Source organism: Homo sapiens, chromosome 1, assembly GCF_000001405.40.
Source record: "Homo sapiens chromosome 1, GRCh38.p14 Primary Assembly".
NCBI lineage: Eukaryota > Metazoa > Chordata > Mammalia > Primates > Hominidae > Homo > Homo sapiens.
In genome coordinates this window covers 147379645-147406346 of record NC_000001.11, presented here as the reverse complement: position 1 = coordinate 147406346, position 26702 = coordinate 147379645, and the positions used below count along the sequence as shown (strand labels likewise).

The window sequence follows — 26702 nt, the reverse complement described above, 5'->3', positions numbered from 1 at the left end:
AATTTACTGAGAGTTTTTAGTATGAAGGGTTGTAGAATTTTGTCAAAGGCCTTTTCTGCATCTATTGAGATAATCATGTGGTTTTTGTCTTTGGTTCTGTTTATATGCTGGATTACATTTATTGATTTGAGTATATTGAACCAGCCTTGAATCCCAGGGATGAAGCCCACTTGATCATGCTGGATAAGCTTTTTGATGTGCTGCTAGATTCAGTTTGCCAGTGTTTTATTGAGGATTTTTGCATCAATGTTTATCAAGGATATTGGTCTAAAATTCTCTTTTTTGGTTGTCTCTCTGCTGGCTTTGGTATCAGGATGATGCTGGCCTCATAAAATGAGTTAGGGAGGATTCCCTCTTTTTCTATTGATTGGAATAGTTTCAGAAGGAATGGTACCAGTTCCTCCTTGTACCTCTGGTAGAATTCGGCTGTGAATCCATCTGGTCCTGGACTCTTTTTGGTTGGTAAACTATTGATTATTGCCACAATTTCAGAGCGTGTTATTGGTCTGTTCAGAGATTCAACTTCTTCCTGGTTTAGTCTTGGGAGAGTGTATGTGTCGAGGAATTTATCCATTTCTTCTAGATTTTCTAGTTTATTTGCATAGAGGTGTTTGTAGTATTCTCTGATGGCAGTTTGTATTTCTGTGGGATCGGTGGTGATATCCCCTTTATCATTTTTTATTGCATCTATTTGATTCTTCTCTCTTTTTTTCTTTATTAGTCTTGCTAGCAGTTTATCAATTTTGTTGATCCTTTCAAAAAACCAGCTCCTGGATTCACTAATTTATTGAAGGGTTTTTTGTGTCTCTATTTCCTTCAGTTCTGCTCTGATTTTAGTTATTTCTTGCCTTCTGCTAGCTTTTGAATGTGTTTGCTCTTGCTTTTCTAGTTCTTTTAATTGTGATGTTAGGGTGTCAATTTTAGATCTTTCCTGCTTTCTCTTGTGGGCATTTAGTGCTATAAATTTCCCTCTACACAGTGCTTTCAATGCGACCCAGAGATTCTGGTATGTTGTGTCTTTGTTCTCGTTGGTTTCAAAGAACCTCTTTATTTCTGCCTTCATTTCGTTATGTACCCAGTAGTCATTCAGGAGCAGGTTGTTCAGTTTCCATGTAGTTGAGCGGTTTTGAGTGAGATTCTTAATCCTAAGTTGTAGTTTGATTGCACTGTGGTCTGAGAGACAGTTTGTTATAATTTCTATTCTTTTACATTTGCTGAGGAGTGCTTTACTTCCAACTATGCGGTCAGTTTTGGAGTAGGTGTGGTGTGGTGCTGAAAAGAATGTATATTCTGTTGATTTGTGGTGGAGAGTTCTGTAGATGTCTGTTAGGTCCGCTTGGTGCAGAGCTGAGTTCAATTCCTGCGTATCCTTGTTAACTTTCTGTCTCGATCTGTCTAATGTTGACAGTGGGGTGTTAAAGTCTCCCATTATTATTGTTTGGGAGTCTAAGTCTCTTTGTAGGTCACTATGGACTTGCTTTATGAATCTGGGTGCTCCTGTATTGGGTGCATATATATTTAGGATAGTTAGCTCTTCTTGTTGAATTGATCCCTTTACCATTATGTAATGGCCTTCTTTGTCTCTTTTGATCTTTGTTGGTTTAAAGTCTGTTGTATCAGAGACTAGGATTGCAACCCCTGCCTTTCTTTGTTTTCCATTTGCTTGGTAGATCTTCCTCCATCCCTTTATTTTGAGCCTATGTGTGTCTCTGCACGTGAGTTGGGTTTCCTGAATACAGCACACTGATAGGTCTTGACTCTGTATCCGATTTGCCAGTCTGTGTCTTTTAATTGGAGCATTTATACCATTTACATTTAATGTTAATATTGTTATGTGTGAATTTGATCCTGTCATTATGATGTTAGCTGGTTATTTTGTTAATTAGTTGATGCAATTTCTTCCTAGCCTTGACGGTCTTTACAATTTGGCATGTTTTTGCAGTGGCTGGTACCAGTGGTTCCTTTTCATGTTTAGTGCTTCCTTCAGGAGCTCTTCTAGGGCAGGCCTGGTGGTGACAAAATCTCTCAGCATTTGCTTGTCTGTAACATATTTTATTTCTCCTTCACTGATGAAGCTTAGTTTGGCTGGATATGAAATTCTGGGTTGAAAATTCTTTTCTTTAAGAATGTTGAATATTGCTCCCCACTCTCTTCTGGCTTGTAGAGTTTCTGCCGAGAGATCAGCTGTTAGTCTGATGGGCTTCCCTTCGTGGGTAACCCAGCCTTTCTCTCTGGCTACCCTTAACATTTTTTCCTTCATTTCCACTTTGGTGAATCTGATAGTTATGTGTCTTGGAGTTGCTCTTCTCGAGGAGTATCTTTGTGGCGTTCTCTGTATTTCCTGAATTTGAGTGTTGGCCTGCCTTGCTAGATTGGGGAAGTTCTCCTGGATAATATCCTGCAGAGTGTTTTCCAACTTGATTCCATTCTCCCCATCACTTTCAGGTACACCAATCAGATGTAGATTTGGTCTTTTCACATAGTCCCATATTTCTTGGAGGCTTTGTTTCTTGTCATTCTTTTTTCTCTAAACTTCTCTTCTCCCTTCATTTCATTCCTTTCGTCTTCCATCACTATACCCTTTCTTCCAGTTGATCGCTCGGCTACTGAGGCTTCTGCATTCGTCACTTAGCTCTCGTGCCTTGGTTTTCAGCTCCATGAGGTCCTTTAAGGACTTCTCTGCACTGGTTATTCTAGTTATCCATTCATCTAATTTTTTTTAAAGCTTTTAACTTCTTTGCCATTGGTTTGAATTTCCTCCTGTAGCTCGGAGTAGTTTGATCGTCTGAAGCCTTCTTCTCTCAACTCGTCAAAGTCATTCTCCATCCAGCTTTGTTCCATTGCTGGTGAGGAGCTGTGTTCCTTTGGAGGAGGAGAGGTGCTCTGATTTTTAGAGTTTCCAGTTTTTCTGCTCTGTTTTTCTCCCATCTTTGTGGTTTTATCTACCTTTGGTCTTTGATGATGGTGATGTACAGATGGGTTTTTGGTACGGATGTGCTTTCTGTTTGTTAGTTTTCCTTCTAGCAGACAGGACCCTGAGCTGCAGGTCTGCTGGAGTTTGCTAGAGGTCCACTCCAGACCCTGTTTGCCTGGGTATCAGCAGCGGTGGCTGCAGAACAGAGTATACTGGTGAACTGCAAATGCTGTTGCCTGATCGTTCCTCTGGAAGTTTTGTCTCAGAGGAGTACCCGGACATGTGAGGTGTCAGTCCGCCCCTGCTGGGGGTGCCTCCCAGTTAGGCTTCTCGGGGGTCAGGGACCCACTTAATGAGGCAGTCTGCCTGCTCTCAGATCTCAAGCTGCGTGCTGGGAGAACCACTACTCTCTTCAAAGCTGTGAGAGAGGGACATTTAAGTCTGCAGAGGTTAGTGCTGTCTTTTCGTTTGTCTGTGCCCTGCCCCCAGAGGTGGAGCCTACAGAGGCAGACCTGCCTCCTTGAGCTGTGGTGGGCTCCACCCAGTTTGAGCTTCCTGGCCGCTTTGTTTACCTAATCAAACAACTAACTCGGCAGTGGCGGGCGCCCCTCCCCCAGCCTCTCTGCCACCTTGCAGTTTGATCTCGGACTGCTGTGCTAGAAATGAGTGAGACTCCATGGGCATAGGACCCTCCAAGGCAGGTGCAGGATATAATCTCCTCGTGTGCCATTTTTTAAGCCCGTTGGAAAAGCACAGTATTAGGGTGGGAGTGACCCGATTTTCCAGGTGCCGTCTGTCACCCCTTTCTTTGACTAGGAAAGGGAATTCCCTGACCCCTTGCACTTCCCGGGTGAGGTGATGCCTCACCCTGCTTCGGCTCGTGCACGGTGCGCTCCACCCACTGTCCTGCACCTACTGTCTGGCACTCCCCAGTGAGATGAACCCAGTACCTCAGTTGGAAATGCAGAAATCACCTGTTTTCTGCGTCGCTCACGCTGGGAGCTGTAGACCAGAGCTGTTCCTATTCGACCATCTTGGCTCCTCCCCCCGAGGTCCCCAGTCTGTGATTATTAACTATAATTTCCTTATTGTACTATCCAATATTAGAACATGTTCCTTCAATCTATAATAGGTGTATTTTTGTACCGTTCAACCAACTTCTCCTTATCCCTCCACCCAGTTGAAAGACATAAAAATATTTTAACCCAAAATATATTTATTTAGCATATTTTGAGATGGCTGTCAAAAAGCCAGCAAACATAAGTAGTCCTGCAAATCTGTCTTTTGTGGAGAAAATTTATATCTGTGGAGAATCTGCATTGATGCAGCCAGGACTTCCCTTGTCTGGAGCTAGAAAATATTAACTGATGGTCTGACACACTCTAAATGTCTGAAAGTAACATTTACCATCTAGTATCTCTGAGGGCTGCTGCTTGTGAGGTTTCATTTATATAATAAGATCATCTTTGCTAGCCAAGTATCTTCTTTTCCTCCCATAACCAGATGCTGCTATAACCTGATTTATCACCAAACCCTGATTTTGGCCATACTCTGAGTCCCCATTCTTTCTGTAACCTCCAGATGTTATATAAACTTCTGCACCCCCTTGGAGGTGGGAAGACATCCTGTGGTTCTCTCTGTGCACATGTTAATAAGGTTATATGCTTTTTCTCTTACTAATCTGCCTTTTCTTGAGTTGATTTTTCCACCTTCAAATAAATATTTTAAAACTTCCCAAATTTGATTTTAAAAAACATTTGATACTGTGGTTAGGGAGAACAGTGACCCTTCAAAGATGTTCATATTCTAATCATCAAAACTTGTGAATATGTTACCAGAAGAAACTGCAGATATAATTGTTAGAGATCTTGAGATGAGAAGGTTATCCTAGATTATCTGCATGAGCCCAGTGTAATCACAAGGGCCTTTATAAGACAGAGGAAGGAGTATCAAGGAAGTGCTGTATGATTAAGACTTGAGAGGCAATTGCTAGACTTGAAAATGTTGGAAGAGGCCACAAGCCAAGAAATATAGTCAGTCTTTTAAAGCTTGAAAAAGCAAGAAAATAATTCTTTTCTAAAGCCTCTAGAAGGAATGTGGCCCTTTTGACACCTTGATTTTAGCCCAGTGAACACGTTAGACTTCTGACCTCCAGAGCTATTTTAAATCACTATTTGTCGTAATTTACTATGGCAGCAGTAGGAAATTAACACATACATATCCAAAAAGCTCAAAAAACCCCAATGAAAAGAAAATTTAGAAGATCCATACCTCAATATGTCATTGTCAAACTGTAAAAAGCCAAAGACAAAGAGAAAAACATAAAAGTAGCAAGAGAAAATGACTCATCACATACAGGTTCTTATAAAAAATATCTACAATTGACTTTTCATCAGAAACTATCGAGGTCAGAAGGCAGTGGGATAACATGGTCAGTGTGCTGAAAGAAAAAGAATGTCAATCAAGAAATCTGTATAAAACAATAAGAATCCCATCTTCTAAATGAAAGAGAGAGGTATTTCTTCTTCTGAAAGATAGAGTAGAAATGCTTTTCTCTATGCCTTCCTCTAACTAAAGCTCAAAACTCTGGACATTCTATATTAGAAAACATGAGAAAACTCTGAAAGGTGGAGTGAAGAAGGCAGACGAGTCAGGGACCTTGGAACTTTGGATGCATGGAAAAACATGGTAGTGAGTTAGCTGTTTTAATTTTGTCTTATATATCTACATGCTGGCAACCCAGAAATACCAATGGGTACAGACAAAGGGGGAAAACGCCTGCTGTCTTCAGCCACAGGATCAGAAAGGTGGCAGCATAGCAAGACAGAAAAACATTTAGACAATAGCTGCTCTACTTTAGCCAAACACCACAGAAAAAAACAAGCTCCAAATCCACACCTGTTAACAAAGGCCAAGTGGGGAGAATAGATATCCCCAAGTGAGACTATTCCTCACCATATTCCCTGCAGTATCAGTGAAGACCACATGAGGAGCTTGGACATCCACCCCCACTCAACGGTAATGAGACTTTCCCATTCTTGTTGGGGTGGTGTTAGGGAAGGCCAAGTCAGGACTATCACCATCACCCAGCAGTAAAAAGGTCACCCACCACCGTGCCAGGGAAGTTCATGTGAAGAGCAGTTCTGGGGCATGCCTGCCTTTCCCAGCCAGGGTGGTATCAATGGAAGTCTAGTAGGGAGCCAGATTTTCCATTCCCACCAACAGTAATGAAGATTCTCCTCTCCATAACCAGGTGTTAGTGGATGTCAAGTGAGAAATCTGGACTTCCACCCCTACCTGGCAGTAATAAGGCAGTGCCATCCCCCATCCTTTGCGGGGGTGGTGTAAGAGGAGCCTTGTAGAAGCAGAAGGTTTAAAAAAGATCTAGAGTCTCATAATACTCAAATGTCCAGATTTTAATAAAAAGTTCAGTTATACCAAAATATAGGAAGATCTCAATTTTAATGATAAAAGGCAGTCAATAAAAACCAAAACCAACATGACATATATGCTAAAATTTTATGGCAAGTATTTTAAAGTAGCCACCATATAACTGCTTCAACAAATTATAAAATGCTCAAAACAAATGAAAATAATAGTGTCTCAGCAGAGAAAGAGAAGACTTAAAAAAGGTGGAAATTTAAAAAAATATAATAACCAAAATGAAAAAAATCAGTGGATGTGTTAAAAAGCTGAATAAAGGGTACAGAGGAAAGCATCAGAGGACATGTAAATAAAATAATAGAAATTAAATAATCTGTACACCAGAGAGAAAACAGATTGAAAACAAATGAACAGAGACTCAGGGACCTGTGGAATTATAACAAAAGATCTAGCATTCATATTGTAGTCTCAGGGGAGGAGAGAGAGGGTGGGGCTAAAAATATTCAAAGAAATAATAGCTGAAAATCTCTCAAATCTGGCAAAAGACATAAACCTATCAATCAAGATGTGCAAAGCCAAAGTAGGATAAGCTCATTGAAATCCATGCCAAGAGTCAATAGACAAACTACGGAAAACGAAAGAGAAAAAAGTCTTGAAAGCAGTGAAAGAAAATGATATCTTGACAAGAGGGAAAAAGAAAACTTCACTGATAGTGGATTTCTCATCAGAAACCATGGAGGCCAGAAGGAAGTGGTACAACATTTTTCAAGTGCAGAAAGAAAAGAACTGTAACTCTAACTCCAGTGAATAGATCCAGCAAAAATAACCCTTTAGGAATGAAGAAAAAATTAAGATATTCTCAGATGAAGGAACACCAAAAGACTGTCACCGGAAGATCTACTATTAAAAAACTTTTAAAACAACACTTCTCTGAAGAGAAAGGAAATGATGAAAGAAGAAATGTTGAAACATCAGGAAGGAAGAAAGAGCAATGAAAAGAGTATAAATATGGGTAAATACAATAGACTTTCCTTTTCCCCTGGAGTTTTCTAAGTTTTATGATTAAGGCAAAATTATAACACTGTCTCATGTATCACTCAGTGTATGTAGAGCAAATATTTAATAAATGATTTAATAAATGGGAGAGAGTAAAAAGATGTAAAAGGAGGTAAATTTTCTACACATCCCTTGAATTGAAAAAATGTTTATAGAGGTAGACTGTATAATACCTAGAACAGCCACTTAAAAATATTCCATTGAGATAAACTCAAAAGACTACAAATAAATCAAAGTAGAATTTATTAAATGTTCAGGTAACCTCCAGGAAGGCAGGGAAAAAATACTACAGAGAAGTGAACAGCAGAAAGAGCTATTTGTTCTAGACGACAAAAATAAAACAGCAGACCTAAACCCTAATATATCAATAAGCGTATTACATGTAAATGGTCTAAGCATGTCAAGTAGAAGACAGAGATTGGTAGATTTTAAAAAACAAACCACCACCAGCACCACCAAAAACCACAAAATGGCCCACTAACTATATATATCTACAAGAAATTTACATTAAATAAAACAATAAAGGTATACTGAAAGTAAAAGCCTGAAAAAAAGTACAGCAGGAGTGGGTATATTAATATCATATTTAAAAACAGAGAATTGAGAGGAACTTTAGTGATAAGAGTCAATCCACCAAGAAGACCAAGTAATTCTAAATGTATAAACACCAAAAAACAGAGCTTTGAAACGTGTTAAATAAAAGTTGAGGGAGCTAAAAGGAAAAATTGACAAATCAAAAATTATATAAGAATTAAAATTATCAGAGTATATTATCTGATTATAATAGAATCACACTAGAAATCAGTATAGGAAGATAACAGTTAAGTCTCCAAACACTTGGAAACCAAACAACTTTTAAATAGTCCGTGAGTGAAAGAAAGAGCCTTAAGGGAAATTGATAAGTACATTGAATGGGATGAAAATAAAAATACAACATATCAAAATTTTTGGAATATAGCTAACCCAGTGCTGAGAGGAAAATTTAAAGCACTAAATTACATTAAGAAAGAGGAAGAGTTTAGAATTCTTAGTCTAAACTCTCACCACACACAGACGTACACACACACACAAACGCACACACACACATAGAAAAAAGAGAAAAATAAGCAAGGAGAGAAGGAAGGAAAATGATGCAGAAATCAATGAAATTGAAAACAGGAAATAATAGAGAAAATTTATGAAAAAAATCTGGTTCTTTGAAAATATCAGTAAGATTGATAGACATCTGGTAAGACTGACAAAGAGAGATGACACAAATACTGATATCAGTATGAACAGGGGATATCGTTAGAGACCCTGCCAATATCAAATGGATAGTAAGAAAATACAACAAATAATTCTACACATGTAAACTTGACAACTTAGATGAAATGGACCAATTTCTTGAAAAGCACAAACTGTCACAACTTACCTAATATAAAATAGATAATTTGAATAGCCCTATCCATAACTATTAAGAAAATCAACTTTTTCATTTTAAAAATTCAGTATAAGAAACTTCCAGGCCCAGATGGGTCCACTGGAGAATTCCACCAAACTTTTAAAGAATTAACATCAATTTTACATAATCTCTTCCAAAAAATACAAGAAAAAGGAAAACTTCCCAAATCATTTTATGAAGTGAATATTACTCCAATACCAAAATTAGACAAAGACATCAAAAGGAAGGAAAACTATAAATCATTATTATTCATAAGTGTAGGTACAAAAATTCTTAACCAATCAGCATATAGAATTCAGCAATATGTAATAAGAATTATACACCACTACCATATGGGATTTATTCCAGGAATGCAAGACTGGTTCAATATTAAGAACTAATTAATGTGATTTGGCATATTAATAGGCTAAAGAAGAAAAGTCACATGATTATATTAATTAATTGTATTACATCATTTTTTGTGTTACTGTAAATAAATGCCTGAGGCTGGGTAATTTATAAAGAAGAGAGGTTTAATTGGATCATAGCTCTGTAGTCTGTACCTGAAGCATAGTACTGGCATCTGCTTCTGGTGAGGGCTTCAGGAAGCTTCCAATCACAGTGAAAGAAAAAGGGGGAGCCAGTACATCATGTGATGAGAGTGGGAGCAAGAGAGAGAGACAGGTAGTGCCACACACTTTTAAACAACCAGATCTCTTGTGAACTCACCCACTATCATGAGGATAGCCCAAGCCATTCATGAAGGATGTGCCCCCATGACCCAAACACCTCCCAGCAGGGCCCACCTCCAACCCTGGGGATTACATTTCACCATAAGATTTGGAGGGGCCAAACATCCGAATGGTATTATCAATGCAGAAAAAGCATTTGACGAAATCCAATACACAACCATGGCAAAACTCTTAGAAAAATAGGAATAGAGGGGGTTGTTCTCAACTTGATAAAGGGAGTCTGCAAGAAAAACCCACATCTAACATTGCATTTAGTGGTAAAAGATCAGGAACAAGACAAGGATGTCTGCTCTGACTACTCTTAATTCAGTGTAGTGCTGTAAGTTCTAGGCAGTGCAATAAGGCAGGAAAATTTTTTAAAGGCAGGTAGATCAGGAAAAAAGAAATAAAACTGTTCTTATTTGCAGATGATATAATGGTCTATGTGGAAAATGCTAAGATGCCTACAAAAAAAATCATAGAACCAGTAAATGAGTACAGCAAGGTCACAGGTTAGCAAACAAAATATCAACTGTACATGTATATTCTATTAATGAGAACGTGTGAAGTAGGAGACAGGACTTGATTTTGGAGGTGGGATTCAACTCTGGAAGTGGGGCTCAGACACCAGAGCAAATTGAGGACTAACTAAAACAGGGATGGGGTGGGAGCACCTTCCCCTAAGACATGCCCACCAGTGTGCCACCTGTTTACCAGTGGCATGGGAACACCTGGAAGTTACCACCATTTTTCTTAAAAATTTTCATAATCTGCCTAATTTGCATATAATTAAAAGTGGATATAAATGTGATGGCAGAACTGCCCTGAGCTACTACTCAGGGCTCACTGCCTGTTGGGCAGCCCTGCCCTGCAAGGAGTAGTACCTCTACTGCTGGTGTACACTGCTGCTTCAATAAAAATTGATGCCTGACACCACCAGCTTGCCCTTGAATTATTTCCAGGGTTAAGCTAAGAACCCTCCTGGGCTAAGCCCCAGTTGTGGGGCTCAGCTATCTTGCATCATGTGGAAACCAAAAATTTTAAATACAATACCATTTACAATTGTTAAAAAAAATGCTTAGGTATAAATGTAATGGGACATACACACAACTTGCACACTGAAAACTACAAAATGCTCATGAAAGAAATCAAAGAAGATCTAAAAATAAGTGGAAGAGCATATGTGTTCATGGATTGATTAATATAGTCATATCAGTTCTCTCCAAATTGATATTTACAGGTTTAATACATTTTCCATCAAAATCCCAGTAAGATTTTTTAACAGATATAGACAAGATTATTCCAAAATTTAAATGAAAAGGTAAAGGAACTAGAATAGCTAAAGCAATTATGTTTTAAAAAAATAAAATGGGAAAAAGTACTGTACCTTACAACAAGACTGTGTAGTATTAGTGTAAGGATAAGACACTTGGATCAATGGAACAGAATAAACAACCTAGAAGTAGACTCAATGCGGCATGGGTAACTAATTTAAGATGAAAGTGTAAAATCAATTTAGTCTTTCAAATAAATGGTGATGAAGAATTTAGATATCCATATTAAAAAAACTAAACCTCAACCTTACAGTTTATACTAAAATTAACTCAAAATGCATCATATATTTAAACTTAAACCATAAAACTATAAAACTTTTATGGAAAAGCATAGGAGTAAATTTTGTGGACCAGTGATTTGGTGAACACATTTTAGACATAATGCCAAAGGCTTGATCCATAAAAGGAAAAAAATAGTAAATTGACATCACCAAAATTTAAAACTTTTTCTCTGTGGAAGATCAGAGGACAAAAAAACAAGATACAGATCTGGAGAAAATATTTTCAAACCATATATCTGACAGAGGACTCATCTAGAATTATAAAGAACTCTCAAACTTAACAATAAAAAATCAAATTAGAAAATTGTCAATATACACAAGGAGACATTTCATAAAATAAGTTATATAGATAACAATGATATTCAGTATCACTAGCCATTAGGGAAAAGCAACAGAAGACCATGATGAGATACAACATAATCATTAGAATAGCTCAAATAAAGATAAATAGTACTAAATATTGGCAAGGACATGGAGAAACTGGATCTCTGTCACAATGCTAATGGGAATATAAAATAATACAAGTACTCTGGGAAATAGTTTGATAGTTTCTTTACAAACTAAATGTGCATCTGCTATACAATCCATCAACTTTTCACCAGGCCATTTATCCCTGAGAAATAAATGTTGACATCCATACTAAAGCTTGTACATGATTGTTCAGATGAGCATTATTACATATAATAAATTATATAGTGGTATATAAGCTATATTTTATATAACTATATATATATAACATTTTATTATATAGCCCCAAACTGGAAACAATCAGTATGTCCTCCAGTTAATGAATAGTTAAACAAACTATGGTACATCCATCATGGAATACTACTCAGCAATAACAAATAATGAACTACCAGCAGTCCTGCCCTATAAGAAATACTAAAGGGTATTACCTCAGGCTTGAAAGAAAGAACATTAGAGAGTAATCCAAAAGTACATGAAAAAATTAAAGAACACAAGTAAAAGTAATTAAGTGAAGTAAATATAAAAGTCATTACCAACTTATATTTTAAATTTTTCTTCTCTTAACTGATTTTAAAGACTACTGTTTAAAATAATACTTATGGCTGGGCGCAGTGGCTCACATCTGTAATCCCAGCACTTTGGGAGGCCAAGGCAGATGGATCACCTGAGGTGAGGAGTTCAAGACCAGCCTGGCCAACATGGTGAAACCCCATCTCTACTAAAAATACAAAAATTAGCCAGGCGGAGTGGTGTGCACCTGTAATCCCACCTACTTGGGAGGCTGAGGCAGAAGAATCGCTTGAACCCAGGAGGCGGAGGTTGCAGTGAGCCGAGATCGTGTCACTGCACTCCAGCCTGGGTGACAAAGTAAGCCTCCATCCCCACTGCCCAAAAAAAAATCAAATAAAAAAATGTTTTAAAGATAAAATAATACTTACAAATTTGTGTTAATGAGTTTATAATGGGAAGGGAGTTATATAGAAGCAAAGTTTTTATAAACTACTGGAATTAATATTAATCTGAACCTTTTAGGTTTAGATTAAGACACAGATTTCATGCAATACCCATTGCAAACACTTAAAAATACTTTAAAATATATAGTAGAAAAACATTAGTATATGGGAAATCTCTGTACCTTCTGTACAATTTTGCTGTAAACCTAAAAATGCTCTAAAAAATAAAGTCTATTTTTATTTATTTATTTCAGGATGGAGTCTTATTCTGTCACCCAGGCTGGAGTGCAGTGGCATGATCTCGGCGCACTGCAATCTCTGCCTCCCGGGTTTAAGTGATTCTCCTACCTCAGCCTCCTGAGCAGCTGGCATTACAGGCATGTGCTGCCGTGCCTGGCTAACTTTTATATTTTTAGTAGAGACAGGATTTTGCCATGTTGGCCAAGCTGGTCTCAAACTACTGGCCTCAAGAAATCTGCCTGCCTTGGCCGGGCACGGTGGCTCACGCCTGTAATCCCAGCACTTTGGGAGGCCAAGGCGGGCGGATCACGAGGTCAGGAGATCGAGACCATCCCGGCTAAAACGGTGAAACCCCGTCTCTACTAAAAATACAAAAAATTAGCCGGGCGTAGTGGGGCGGGCGCCTGTAGTCCCAGCTACTTGGGAGGCTGAGGCAGGAGAATGGCGTGAACCCGGGAGGCGGAGCTTGCAGTGAGCCGAGATCCCGCCACTGCACTCCAGCCTGGGCGACAGAGCGAGACTCCGTCTACAAAAAAAAAAAAAAAAAAAAAAAAAAAGAAATCTGCCTGCCTTGGCCTCCCAAAGTGCTGGGATTACAGGGGTGAGCCACCACACCCGGCTTAAAGTCTGTGTTTAAACATGAGTCACCAAAACAATAAAAAACTAATAAGGGAGTTTAAATGCTACAATTGAAAATCTCTATATAACATAAAAGATAGCAGTAGTAGAGGAACAAAAATACATAAAATATATAGAAAACAAATTGCAAAACAGCAGATGTAACTCCTATTATTTCAATAACTACATTAAACGTAGGTGGATTAAACACTACAAATAAAAGGCAGGGATTCAGATTGGATTAAAAAGCAGGATCCAGGCCAGGCACAGTGGCTCACGCCTGTAATCCCAGCACTTTGGGAGGCCAAGTCAGGCAGATCACCTGAGGTGAGGAGTTTGAGACCAGCCTGGCCAACATGGTGAAACCCTGTCTCTACTAAAAATACAAAAATTAGCTGGGCATGATAGTGGGTGCCTGTAATTTCAGCTACTTGGGAGGCTGAGGCAGGAGAAATCAGTTGAACCCAGGAGGCAGAGGCTGCAGTGAGCCGAGATCATGCCACTGCACTCCAGCCTGGGTGACAGTGAGACTCCACCTCAAAAAAAAAAAAGGCAGGATCCAATGATATGATAAGTGTTTCTTTAAAAGACATACTTTCAATTCAAAAATACAAATACATTGAAAGTAAAAGGATGGAAAATATACACTGTGCAAGCAGTAAAGGAGCTGGAATGACCATATTAATATCAGAAAAAAATAGACTTTGAGACAAAAAAGCTTACTTCGGACAAAGAGGGAGATTTTGTAATGACATAAAGGTCAATTCAGAAGGAGGCTTTAATTATTACAAACATATATGCATTTAAGAACAAAGATCCAAAGATATGAAACAAAAACTGACAAAATTGAAGGGTGAAATAGATAATACAATAATAATTGGATGTTTCAATACTCCACTGTCAATAATGGATAGAATAGACAGAAAACCAGCAAAGATATAAAAGACTTTAAGACACTATTAACCAACTTCATCTAACAGACCTCTATCAAATACTCCATCCAACAGTAGAATACACATTCTTTTCAAGCACATGTGGAATATTCTCCAGCATAGATCACATACTGGACCACAAAGCAATAATGAATTTAAAGGGTTTATTTATTTTTATTTTAAAAAAAATTTCAGCATTTACTTTAGATTCAAGGGGTACATGTGCAGGTTTGTTACACGGGCATATTCTATGATGCTGAGGTTTGGTGTATGATTGATCTCATCACTCCAGCCTGGGTGACAAAGTAAGCCTCCATCCCCACTGCTCCCCCCCCAAAAAAAAAATCAAATAAAAAATGTTTTAAAGATAAAACAATACTTACAAATTTGTGTTAATGAGTTTATAATGGGAATTAAGTTGATATTAATCTGAACTTTTTAGATTTAGATTAAGACACAGATTTCATGCAATACCCATAGCAAACACTCAGGTAATGACCATAGTATCCGATAGTTTTTCAACTCTTGCCTCCCTTCTTACCTCCCGACTGTAGTAGTCTCCAGTGTCTATTATTCCCATCTTTATGTCCATGAGTCCCAGTGTTTAGTGCTCACTTAGAACATGCAGTGTTTGGTCTTCTGTTTCTGTGTTAATTCACTTAGGATGATGACCTACAGTTGCATCCTTTTTGCTGCTAAGGACAGGATTTCATTCTTTTTTATGGCTGTGTAGTATTCCGTGGTGTGTATGTACCATATTTTTTTTATCCAATCCTCCACGGATGGGTACCTACGTTGATTCCGTGTCTTTGCTATTGTAAAGTGATGTGACGAACATCCGAGTGCATGTGTCTTTTTTTTGTAGAATGATTTATTTTCTTTTGGGTATATAACCAGTAATGGGATTGCTGGGTTAAGTGGTCGTTTTTTGTTTTTTGTTTTTTTTTAAGTTTTTTGAGAAATCTTCAAACTGCTTTTCACAGAGGACAAACTAATTTACATTCCCACCAACAGTGTATAAGCATCCTCTTTTCTCCACAGCCTCACCAGCATTTGTTACTTTTTGGCTTTTTAATAATAGCCATTCTGACTAGTGTGAGATGGTACCTTGTTGTGGTTTTGATTTGCATTTCTCTGATGATTACTGATGTTGAGCATTTTTTCATATGTTTTTTGGCCACTTTTATGTCTTCTTTTGAGAAGTATCTGTTCATATCCTTTGCCCACTATTTAATGGAGTTTTTTCTTTTTTGCTGGTTGAGTTGTTGAGGTATGAAATTCTTTTCTCAGCTTGGTTTGCTCTGTTGTTAAGGCTTTCCATTGTATTTTGAAATTCCTGTAGTGAATTTTTCAATTTCAGAGGCTCAGTTTGATTCTTTTTTAAAATAGCTATGTTGTCTTTCAACTCTTGGATCATTTTACTGCCTTTCTTAGTTTGGGTTTCAACTTTCTCTTGAATCTCATTGAGCTTCCTTGTTATTCAGATTCTAAATTCTATGTCTGTCATTTCAGAAATGTCAGTCTGGTTAGGACACGTTGTTGGGGAGCTAGGGCGATACTTTGTAGGTAAGGAAACACTCTGACTTTTTGAATTGCTGGAGTTCTTGCACTGATTCCTTCTCATCTGAGAGGGCTGGTGTCTCTTTGTCTTTTTAAAGTTGCTGTTGATTGAGTGGGGCTTTTTGTTTTTATATTCTTTTTTTCCCCTTGAGGTTTTGACTGTGGTGTATGTTGTGTATAGTCGATTGGCTTCATTTCTGGGTGCTTTCAAAGGGTAAAGGGTCTGTGGGCATTCCTTAATTGTGGCTAGTTTCCTGCACTGGGTTTCACAGGCTTTGCCTGCCCAACAAATTTACTTTTGGTTGGTGGTGTAATTCATGTCATGATCCAGTAGATGGCACTTAAGAGTAAGAGCCAGCAGATATGCTGTTAGCTATGTGCATTAGCAGCAGTGCTTAGGGGAAGAGGGAGAGGGGAGGGCAAGAGATGTCTCCCTCGTGGTATCTGCTCCTGGGCCTTGAGGGACCCCCCTCCAATCACTAGCACTGTGTCTATGTTCCTTAGTTCCAGTGGGGGTCCTGGTGGCCTGCACTCCCACCTCCGTTAGGGGCAGTCAGATCCACAGGTTGGGTCAACAAGAGACCCACCACTCCAGGGAACCTGCTGATTCTCTGTGTTTGGCAGAGCCAGAGAGGGTTGTGGGCTATGTCTGCGTTGGCCTGGTGATGCAGTGGATCATGGGCGGAGGATCCCTGGGCAGGGTGGTAGTGCCACGAGTGTGCAGCTGGTGTGGCGTCCACGGCCTGGGTTTTTTATTTTTGCCCAGGAGATGGCTATGGGGTCTACTGAGCTTGCAGTCCCCCAACTGAGCCTCCCTCAGATGTTTGCCCCAGGAGGAGGCCTGACCAGCTAGATTTGTCTCAAGCATTCTGCATCCAGATCGCTGGGTTGTTCCAGGTGTTCCAAGCCTTGGGGCCCTCTTGGGCAGAAGCTGCAGCTGGTCAACAGGCTAGGCTCTTCCCAGGCCAGCTTTGCATAGGAAGAGATGCTCAAGTCCCACGCCAGCACATGCCCACAAACTCACGCCTCACTCTTCTCAGTGTTCTGAGAGTGGAGGCTTTTCCCTTGCTTGAGGTCAGGTCACAGATCTCAGCTTGATGCCCCTGGGCAGTGTGCACAATCCCTGGGGGTTGGGGACCAGGCCCATGGCTTTGCCCTCTGGCCTCTTGGGGTTGAGCACTGGCTGTGTTCCGGGGAGCCAAACTGCTGCCAGGCGATTGGCAAAAATACTCAGGTGGAGCAGTGGAGGCTGGAGGCTGTGCTCTGTGCTCCCTGTTGCAGGAGCAGCCAGGCATGTGGCCTTGGGAGGAGCTGGTGTACAAGGGCCATGTGTATCAGATGTGCCCCTGTCCCACGGGAAAGGTAGCTCTGCTCTCTCCCAGCCCGGCAGTCAGCAGGGGCTAGAGCCACACAGAACAAAATGGAGAGCCTTGGGGAATGGGAGCCTATGCTCACATTTTTGCTGTAGCTCTGGACTCCATGCAGGTTCCAGTTCTGCTTCAAGGCAGTTTCCTCTATCAGTTCAAATGCCTGTGGGGGTCATGGGATCTCTTGTAGTCTGGATCCCAGAGGTGTGTGGCGGGAGTGTGGTGCCTGGGAGTTCCTTCACTCACTGCTTCCCTAGGACCTGCTCAGGATCAGGAGCTGGTCTTGTCACTCTGAGTGACTCCATGCAGGCGCCTAGCTTCCTCCTTCTTCACCCTCAGTGTCTCTGTCACCTCTCTATCAACTTTTTGTGTTTTCTCTCAAATGATCTGTTTGAACTATGATGTTTTACTTGAAATCCTGGATTCTCTTTGTGGGAGAGGCATTTCCTGGCTGTGTCTAGTCAGCCATTTTGTCCCTTTCCATGAAAGTATTTAAATAATACAAAGTATGTTCCCCAGCCACAATGGAATTAAATTAGAAACCAACAACAAAATGAAATTTGGAAACTCCACAAATATTTGGAAATTAAGCAATATATTTCTGAATGAATTATATTATGAATGAATCAGGAGAAATTACCAAAAATTTAGAAAGTATTTTAAATTGTATCACTATGAAAACCACACATATTACAATTTATGGGATGCAGCTAAAGCAACACAGAGAAAAATTCATATGACTTTAAATGCCTATATTAGAAAAGAAAAAGAATATTTCAAATTAAATGAAAAGCATCATAAGGGAATATTATGAGGAACTTTATGCCAACAAATTAGACAACTTAGGTGAAATAGTCAAATTCTTAAAAAACCCCATAAACTACCAAAACTAACTCAAGAAGAAATGAAACATCTGAATAGATCCAAAATCTGTAAAGAAATTTGTAGTTAAAACCTTCTCACAAATACAAACTCAGACTTACATGACTTTGCAAGTGAATTCCATCAAACACTTAACAAAGACATAAGACTGCTGCTCCACAAGCTCTTCCAGGAAATAGAGGCAGAAGGAACAGTTTCCAACTCATTCTATGAGGCCATATTATCCTCATACCAAAGTAAGATAAGCATATTACAAGAAAAGAAAACTATAGACCAACATCTCTTCTGAATATAAATGGAAATATTAGAAAATGAAATCTAAGAATATGAAAAAGAATTATACACCATGACTAGGTAAGATGCATCCCAGGAGTGCAACGCTGTTTAACATCCAAAAAACAATTAATGAAATACATCATATTAAAATAATATAGGACAAAAACCACATGATAATTTCAATATATGCAGAAAAATATTTGACAAAATTCAATACCTATTTATGATTTTAAAAAATCTCAAAAGACTTGGAATAAAAGATAGCTTTCTCAGTCTGGTGAAAGCCATCTACAAAAAAACCTATGGCAAACATCAGTCTTAATGATAAAAGGCTGAAGACTTTCCATCTAAGATTGGGTAAAAGGCAAGGATGTTCACTCTAACCTCTTCGATTCATTCTAACCTCTATGGGAGGTTGTAGCCCATGCAAAAAGAAAATAAAAGGAAAGAAAAGACATATGGATCAAAAGGAAAAAAAAAACAATTATACCTATGTGCAGATGACACAGTGGTCCATGTAGAAAACCCTAGGGAGTCTACGCAAGAAACAACAATAACAACAAAACAAATCCTAGAATTAATAAGGGAATTTAGCAAGGTCACAAGATATGTGATCAATATACAAAAATCAGTTGTATTTCTGTCTACCTGCTATAAACAATCTGAAAAGGGAATTATGAATTTATAAAAGCATTAAAAAGAATACCACATGTAGGAATACATTTAATAGACGGTATGCAAGTCTTGTACATGGAAAGTTTCAAAACATTGTAGAGTCAGCATCATGCAATATACCTTCGTATAATAACAAACCTGCACATGTACTTCCTGATTCTAAAATAAAAGTTGAAAAAAGAAAAAAAAAGACCTTGTAGAGATAATTTTTTAACTCTAAGTAAATGTACAAACTTTCAATGTTTTTGGATTGGAAAACTCAATATTGTTTAAGATGGCAATTTTTTCCAAATTGATCTATGGGTTTGGTGCCATTCAAAATTCCAGTAGATTTTGTGTGGAGACAAACAAGCAGATTCTAAAAATTCTGTGAAAACTCAAAAGACTCAGAATAGCAGAAACTATTTTAAAAAAACAAAGCTGGGAATTTGTTCATGTATAGGAAGACTCCATATTAACATGTTACTTATCTCCAAATTGTTCTATAGATTCTATATAATACCATTCAAAATAATAGCAGGGTTTTTCTCTTTTTTTAAAAAAAGATGACAATTTGATACTAAAATTTATGTGGAAATTTGAAAAACCTAGAATAGCTAATGAAATTTCTGTGTACTACATAGTCTTGTAATCAATCATAGACCTAAATATAAAATCTAAAACTATTAAAGTTCTACAAAAATATAGGAGAAATTTTAATGACATTGGTGAGGCAAAGATTTCATAGATAAGACACTAAAAGCATGAGATAGAAAATACTCATATATTTGCCATCATCAAAATTTAAAAACTTTTGCTCTTCAAGAAGATACTCTAATGGAAGTGAAAAGCAAAGCCACAGATTGGGAGAAAATATCTGCTAACAGATATCCAAAAAAGGACTTGTATCTAGTACAAAAAAATGTACAGTTCAACTATAAGACAAACAACCAAATTTAAAAATAGTTAAATTTGAACAGACATTTCACCAAAGAAGATGTATAAGTAGCAAATAAGTATATGAAATATGCTCAACATCATTATTCATTAGGGTCACACAAATTAAAATAAGATACCAGTAAACTTCCTCTAGAATGGCTAAAATTTAAAGGGCCAAACCAAGTGTTGCCAAAGATATGGAACAACTGAAACTTTCATATGTTGTTATTAGGAATGTAAAATAACAAATCTCTTTAGAAAACAGTTTGGCGGCAGCTTAAAAAGTTAAACACATACCTACCATATGACCTAGTAAACCCACTTGTAGGTTCATTGCATCACTGTTCACAATAGCAAATACATGGAATCAACCAAAATGCCCATTAATGATAGACTGGATAAAGAAAATGTGGTACATATATACCATGGGATACTATGTAGCCATAAACAGGAATGAGATCATTTCCTTTGCAGGGACATGGATGGAACTGGAAGCCATTATGCCCAGCAAACTAACACAGGAACAGAAAACCAAATACCATTTGTTCTCACTTATGAGTGGAAGCTGAACAGTGAGAACACATGGACACATAGAGGGGAACAATATACACTGGGGCTTGTAGGGCAGTGATGGGGAAGGTGGAGGGAAAGCATCAGGAAAAATAGCTCATGCATGCTGGACTTAATACCTAGGTGATGGTTTGATAGGTGCAGCAAACCACCATGGCACATGTTTACCTATGTACATAACAAACCTCCACATCCTGCACATGTACCCCAGAACTTTAAAAAAAAATAAAAGTGAGTCAAGGAAGGAAAATCAGGCATCAAAGACACATCTTCACAAGTTTACATAGGCCTGATCATCCATATGTAAAAGGTGTAGCAAACCCCTAGGAAGCTACACACCAACTGCAACACAAGCTGCTCAACATTAGTCTGGATTTTCTCTTTCCAAAGGTTTTCAGAGATTACAGCCCTTTTTTTTTTGAAGTATTGGGAAAAGATGATTTCTTGTAAATGGATGATTTTTGGAAACATCCCAAAGTTATTTGAAATAAGCTGTTTTTGGAACAAATTCATTGAAGTACATGAGCAGTAAGTTGGGTAGTACCATCTGGGCATATATGGGTCTGAGACTTGTATTATTGTATGGCTAGGAAGTTGGCTTGAAGGGAAACAGGGCCAGAGCTTGGCTTGTCTTAGGACCTCCTGACTGAGATTGTAGTTCCACTCCTTCACACGATCTTTGTCCCACAGTGACCCAGTTGCTGGGTGAATTTTCTGAGAAGGGATGGGTGTTTCATGATTTCCTTCGTTGGAGTGAGTAATTGAAAGTGGAGAGTGGTATGTTAGTGCTTCCTTGAAGGATGTAATTAGGTAATATCATGCAAGAAGGAAACTGTCATAAAGCTAGTAAAATGCAAATGAGAAGGAACTGCAGCATTGCTCATCTGCATCATCTCCTTTGCAGAATTTAAGATGAAACAATAGAGAAAGAACCAAGAAGTTACATACATTCATCAGAATTGCTGGAGAGTCCTGACCTCTGGCCATCGATCAAAGGGAAGCGTTCACTACTGAAGGTTTGTCTTCACTGTACTGGGTATTCAACTTCCTTGAAATTAAAAGGAAGAAGGATAAAAAGTGGTATGCTGAATGGATTAAAGGTAATATTTTGATTATATCAATAGTTTTCAAACTTTTATAACTCATGAGCTGTTTGGGAATATTTGAGCATATGGTCAATCCACATCTGAATTATCCTGCCCACAAAAATGTCAAGGAAATACTTCTACTGCCCCTTCTGAAGCCATCTTAATTCCAGGAGTTGAATCAATTTCAAAGTCATTGATAACTGCATCAGCCAAAATTTGTCCAAATGTTTTGAAATGCATTTCTATTTCCTGTCACACCTACCTCTTTGGCTAATGCATTCATTTTATGAGTTTCAAAAATTACCATCTCCCTGTCCCAGGTCTTTAAAGTTGTTGAATAAGCAAATCTCTGTTCACTTTATTTGTACTATTTATGGTTATATAGATTTAATTACTTCTAATTAGATTTCCATATTGGAAGTACAAATCTAACCTTAAACAAAAAATTCTTTTTATAATTCTCAATATCTCCAATTATTTTGAGCTTGTGCTCTCTGGATCTTTTCAAGTTATGGCAAACTTGGTTTTGAGGCATAGCAGCAAGAACTACATAAATCTTTTCAAACAGAGATATACCAGTATAAAGCTTGCTTTCCAGTATAGTCCTTAATGATTTTCTTCATTTTCTAGGTCTTTTTGCCTGATGCAGAATATTGGTACATATGCTGGGGTCAACATTTAATGACTCTGGGTCTTTTTCTTGAGCAGAATCTAAGGGATAGTCTTTCATTTTATAGATGTGTTTTAGATTACTCATAAATTCATTACTTTTTCCTCACACACATTATAACATCTCTTAAGGCTCTGCCCATTGACACGAATCTCAGGATTATTCTATAATGTCTCTCTTCTCTGGGGTGTCTTCTTTCTGGGGAGATTTGTATATCTTGGAGTCTGAGACTTCACTATGTACTCCTTCCTTATCATCATTTATAAACCTATTCAACAGACTCTGCCCCAGAATGGATTCTTGAGCAATCTTGAATAATTACACGAGTATCCAAAGATACTGATTTTAGGAGAACAAGGTTGTTGGGTACAGGTAGTTAATTATTCCTAAAACTGAATATGTCCAATACCTATGTCTTGAGAAGCTCTAAGAGAGTAACAGAAGAGCAACAATGGAATGTGACAATTGCCTGCACTGTCTTTCTAGGTTGAAAATCCAAGAAATTTACATGCACTGAATTTTATTTCCTTTATTTGCCTATTTATTCACACCAAGAATTCAGGGTCCATGTTGCTGTAGTGGAAATTGGTTATTTCTGTTTTAGTCTTGAATTGTCTAATTTTGTTCAACTTGCCTGGTACGGAGGGGAGATTCACCAGTGGGCCTCACCTGTAAGTGAGGGTCACATCTGTAATTCTCTGATCTCGTGATGCAGAAGTAGGCCACATCTTCCATTTTCATCCTTGGATTCCTGTGGAATTTACAGATGCACAGATAGAAGTCATTTAGTCTTAGATAGATACCTTCATCTGCTTTGTCAATTGATGATGAATAAGACTGAGTTGAATGTATTTAGAATGTCTTGGCTATAAATTCCTCCATATAGCTTAACCCACTGTTTCCTGCAGTATGCACCCCTTTACCAAGAGAGAGAAAGAGAGAAAGAATTTCATGTTTCTGTGGGTTTTAGAAGGCTATAGGAAGGGATTTTTGTTTGCTCATTTTCAGAACTTATTAATAGACAGTTATTGAATACCTACCTTGGGCACAGAAATAATCACATTCTCTCCTGAGAATTTTCAACCCACAGCCAAGTACAGGTGTGGAAATTTGATGATAGAATTAATACCAATGGAAAAAGGGGCCCACAGAACTGAAAAAGTGGCCACTGGTGATGACAGTGACCTGGGAGGGAGCGAGGCAACCTAGAGAGACAATGTGGGGAATCATCACGTTCCATTACAGCGCCCTTCTCTTACTCTCTTGGAGCTTCTCAAGCCACAGGTGTCAGTCATATTGGTTTTAGAGATTATTAGTAACTACCCAAACCCAACAATTTTGTTTTCCTGAAACTAGAAATGTCCTGTTTCCAACTTTATATTTTCATCAACTTCTTTTTCTATGATGTGTGAGAAACTAGAATATTCAGTGTGCTTTCTTGAATACCAGCCTTGTTTCAACTCTTTAATGAGTGGACTATTCTCTGAAGCTGGCCCTCAGTCTTACTCTGGGTTCATCAACCAAGGTCAAGATCTGTCCACATGCACGTAACAGGAGCACTTTTCCGAGAATTGTAAAGGAGCCACGGTGCAAAGCCTTCTGGACCTGGGTCTCATGTGAAAACTCAGCAATGAGCCTCCTGGCCTGAGATGAGCCTGCGGAGCACCTTGTTACAGCACGCATATGATGTATATAAAAAATGAACACATGTATTCCAATTACACTGATTTGATCTTTACAAACTATATGGATGTATTAAATTGTCACATGTACCCTCAAAATATGTACATCTATTATGTATCAATAAAATAATTAACATATTTTTAACTTGTTTTTGGTAGAGCCGTAACATCTGGGGAGCAATTAATTGCAGAAGCAATTAATCTGGCTATTGACTGATATTTACTCAGGACAAGGAAAACTATCATTACTAAGTAAGATGTGCAAGAAAGATTAATTCACAGTAAGCAAGATTTTTGTAGCTTGTACTGCTATAAATTTGTATTACTGACTGACATTGGGACCATCTACATGTAAATCCTACAAATCAGGACAGAACAGTGACCTCCTCAAGTGCTCATCATACTTATCTCAGTTTCCAGAAGTCAGCAATCAATCTGAAAAGGTAACTAAAATGGCACTTATAAGAACCATAGATTGGTAAAGTTAATTATCCATATTTGTTAATAATACAAATAATAGTTAATATTTATAATGCCCCTACCATGTACCAGGCTTCATGCTAAGTACTTTATATTTTTAAATTTTTATTTCAATAGCTCTTGGGGTACAAGTGGTTTTTTGTGGCATGGATGAATTATACGGTGGTGAATTTGAAGATTTTAGTGCACCTGTCACCCAAGTAGTGTACATTGTACCTAATGGGTAGTTTTTTTTATCCTGAGAACCTCTTCCAACCTCCCACTTCTGATTCTCCAAAGTCCATTATATCACTCTGTATGCCTTTGTGTACTCATATATGCTTTATATCACTTAATCCTAACAACAATACTATGAGGTAGATACTATTATTTTCCCCAATATATAGTGATGCACCACATAGTTTCAGTCAGTGATGGACTGCATTTAAGACAGTAGTCCCATAAGATTATAGTGGAGCTGAGAAGTTTCTATCATCTGTAATGTTGTAGCCATCATAATGTTGTAGCACAACCCATTACTCATGTTTGTGGTGATGATATAAACAAATCTCCTGCATTGCCAGTCACATAAAAGCATAACACATACAATTATGAACAGTACCTAATACTTGATAATGGTAACAAATGACTATGTTACTGCTTTATATATAATATTTACTATACTATAGTTTTTTACTGTTATTTTAGAGTGTACTCCTTTTACTTATGAAAAAAAGGTCACTGTGGCCGGGCGCAGTGGCTCATACCTGTAATCCCAGCACTTTGGGAGGCCGAGGCAGGTGGATCACGGGGTCAGGAGTTCAAGACCAGCCTGGCCAAGATGGTGAAACCCCATCTCTAATAAAAATACAAAAATTAGCCAGGCATGGTGGCGTGTGCCTATAATCCCAGCTACTCGGGAGGCTGAAGAAGAGAATTGCTTGAACCCGGGAGGTGGAGGTTGCAGTGAGCCGAAGTCATGCCACTGCACTCCAGCCTGGGCGACAGAGCAAGACTCCGTTTACAAAAAAAAAAAAAGAAAAGAAAAAAGGTTATTGTAACACAGCTTCAGGCAGGTCCTTCAGGAGGTATTTCAGAAGAAGGCATTGTTATTCTAGGAGATGACAGCTACATGCGTGTTATTGCCCCTGAAGACCTCCCAGTGGGACAAGATACGTTCTGTGTCTTAGTTTTCAACAAAAAATTTTAAAAAGTAAAAAATAAAAATAAAAAATTTCTAAAATAGAAAAAAACTTGTAGAATAAGGATATAAATAAAAATTTTTGTAGAGCCATATTGCATGTTCAGCTATGTTATTACAGAAAAGCCAACAAGTTAAAAAATTAAAATTTATAAAGTAAAAAAGATACAGTAAGATAAGTTTAATTTATTATTGAAGAAAAAAATTTTAATAAATTTAGTGGAGCTCAAGTATACAGTATTTACGAAGTCTACAATAGTGTACAGTAATGTACTAGGCCTTCACATTCATTCACCACTCACTCAGGGACCCACCCAGAGCAACTTGCAGTCCTGTAAGTTCTATTTATAGTAAGTGCCCTATACAGGTGAATTTTAATTTTAAATACCATATTATTACTGTACCTTTTCTATGTTTAGATATGTTTAGATATACCAATGCTATTGTGTCATAACTGCCTATAGTATTCATAACAGTGACATGCTGTACAGGGTTGTAGCCTAGAAGCAACAGATGATATCATATAGCGTAGGTGTGTAGTAGGCCATACCTTCTGGGTTTGTGTGATTATACTCTATGATGTTATCATAGCGCACAATCGCCTAACAATGCATTTCTCAGAATCATCCCTGTTGTTAAGAAATGCAGGGCTGTATATAGATAAGGAAATTGAGGATCAAAGAATTTAAAGAACTTCATAAGAGCACACAACTAGTAAGTGGTAAAGCCAACATTCAAATTTAGTTCTAAGTGTCTTCTAGGCCTAAGGTTTTCTAGGTCCAATTGCATCAAGTAAGAAAGAGGAGGAGCAGAAGGAGGAAGAGAACTGACTAGAATTCAGTACAATTGAACCAGAAACTTTGAATCAGGTTGTGCAAAATGTCAAAAGCTGTGACTTTTTGTAAGAAAGCAATCAAGTCTCCTCTGACTTTCCTTAGGGCATCACCAGTTTTCGAGTTGTCTTGAGTTGCCTCTTCTATAAAAGGGTTCCCTATTTAAGTTTCCTGTCAACATGTTTGTGGC

At 38.1% G+C, this 26702-nt stretch overlaps 1 long non-coding RNA gene across 1 annotated transcript in view; it reads left to right on the top strand.

The window, feature by feature from the left end:
- LINC00624 (long intergenic non-protein coding RNA 624) overlaps window positions 1-24155 on the top strand; it is a 135684-nt gene extending 111529 nt beyond the window's left edge. Inside the window, exon 4 of the long non-coding RNA NR_038423.2 lies at window positions 21484-24155. This is a non-coding gene — a long non-coding RNA (long intergenic non-protein coding RNA 624). The remainder of the gene's footprint in view (window positions 1-21483) is intronic.
- Window positions 24156-26702: the final 2547 nt, after the last annotated feature.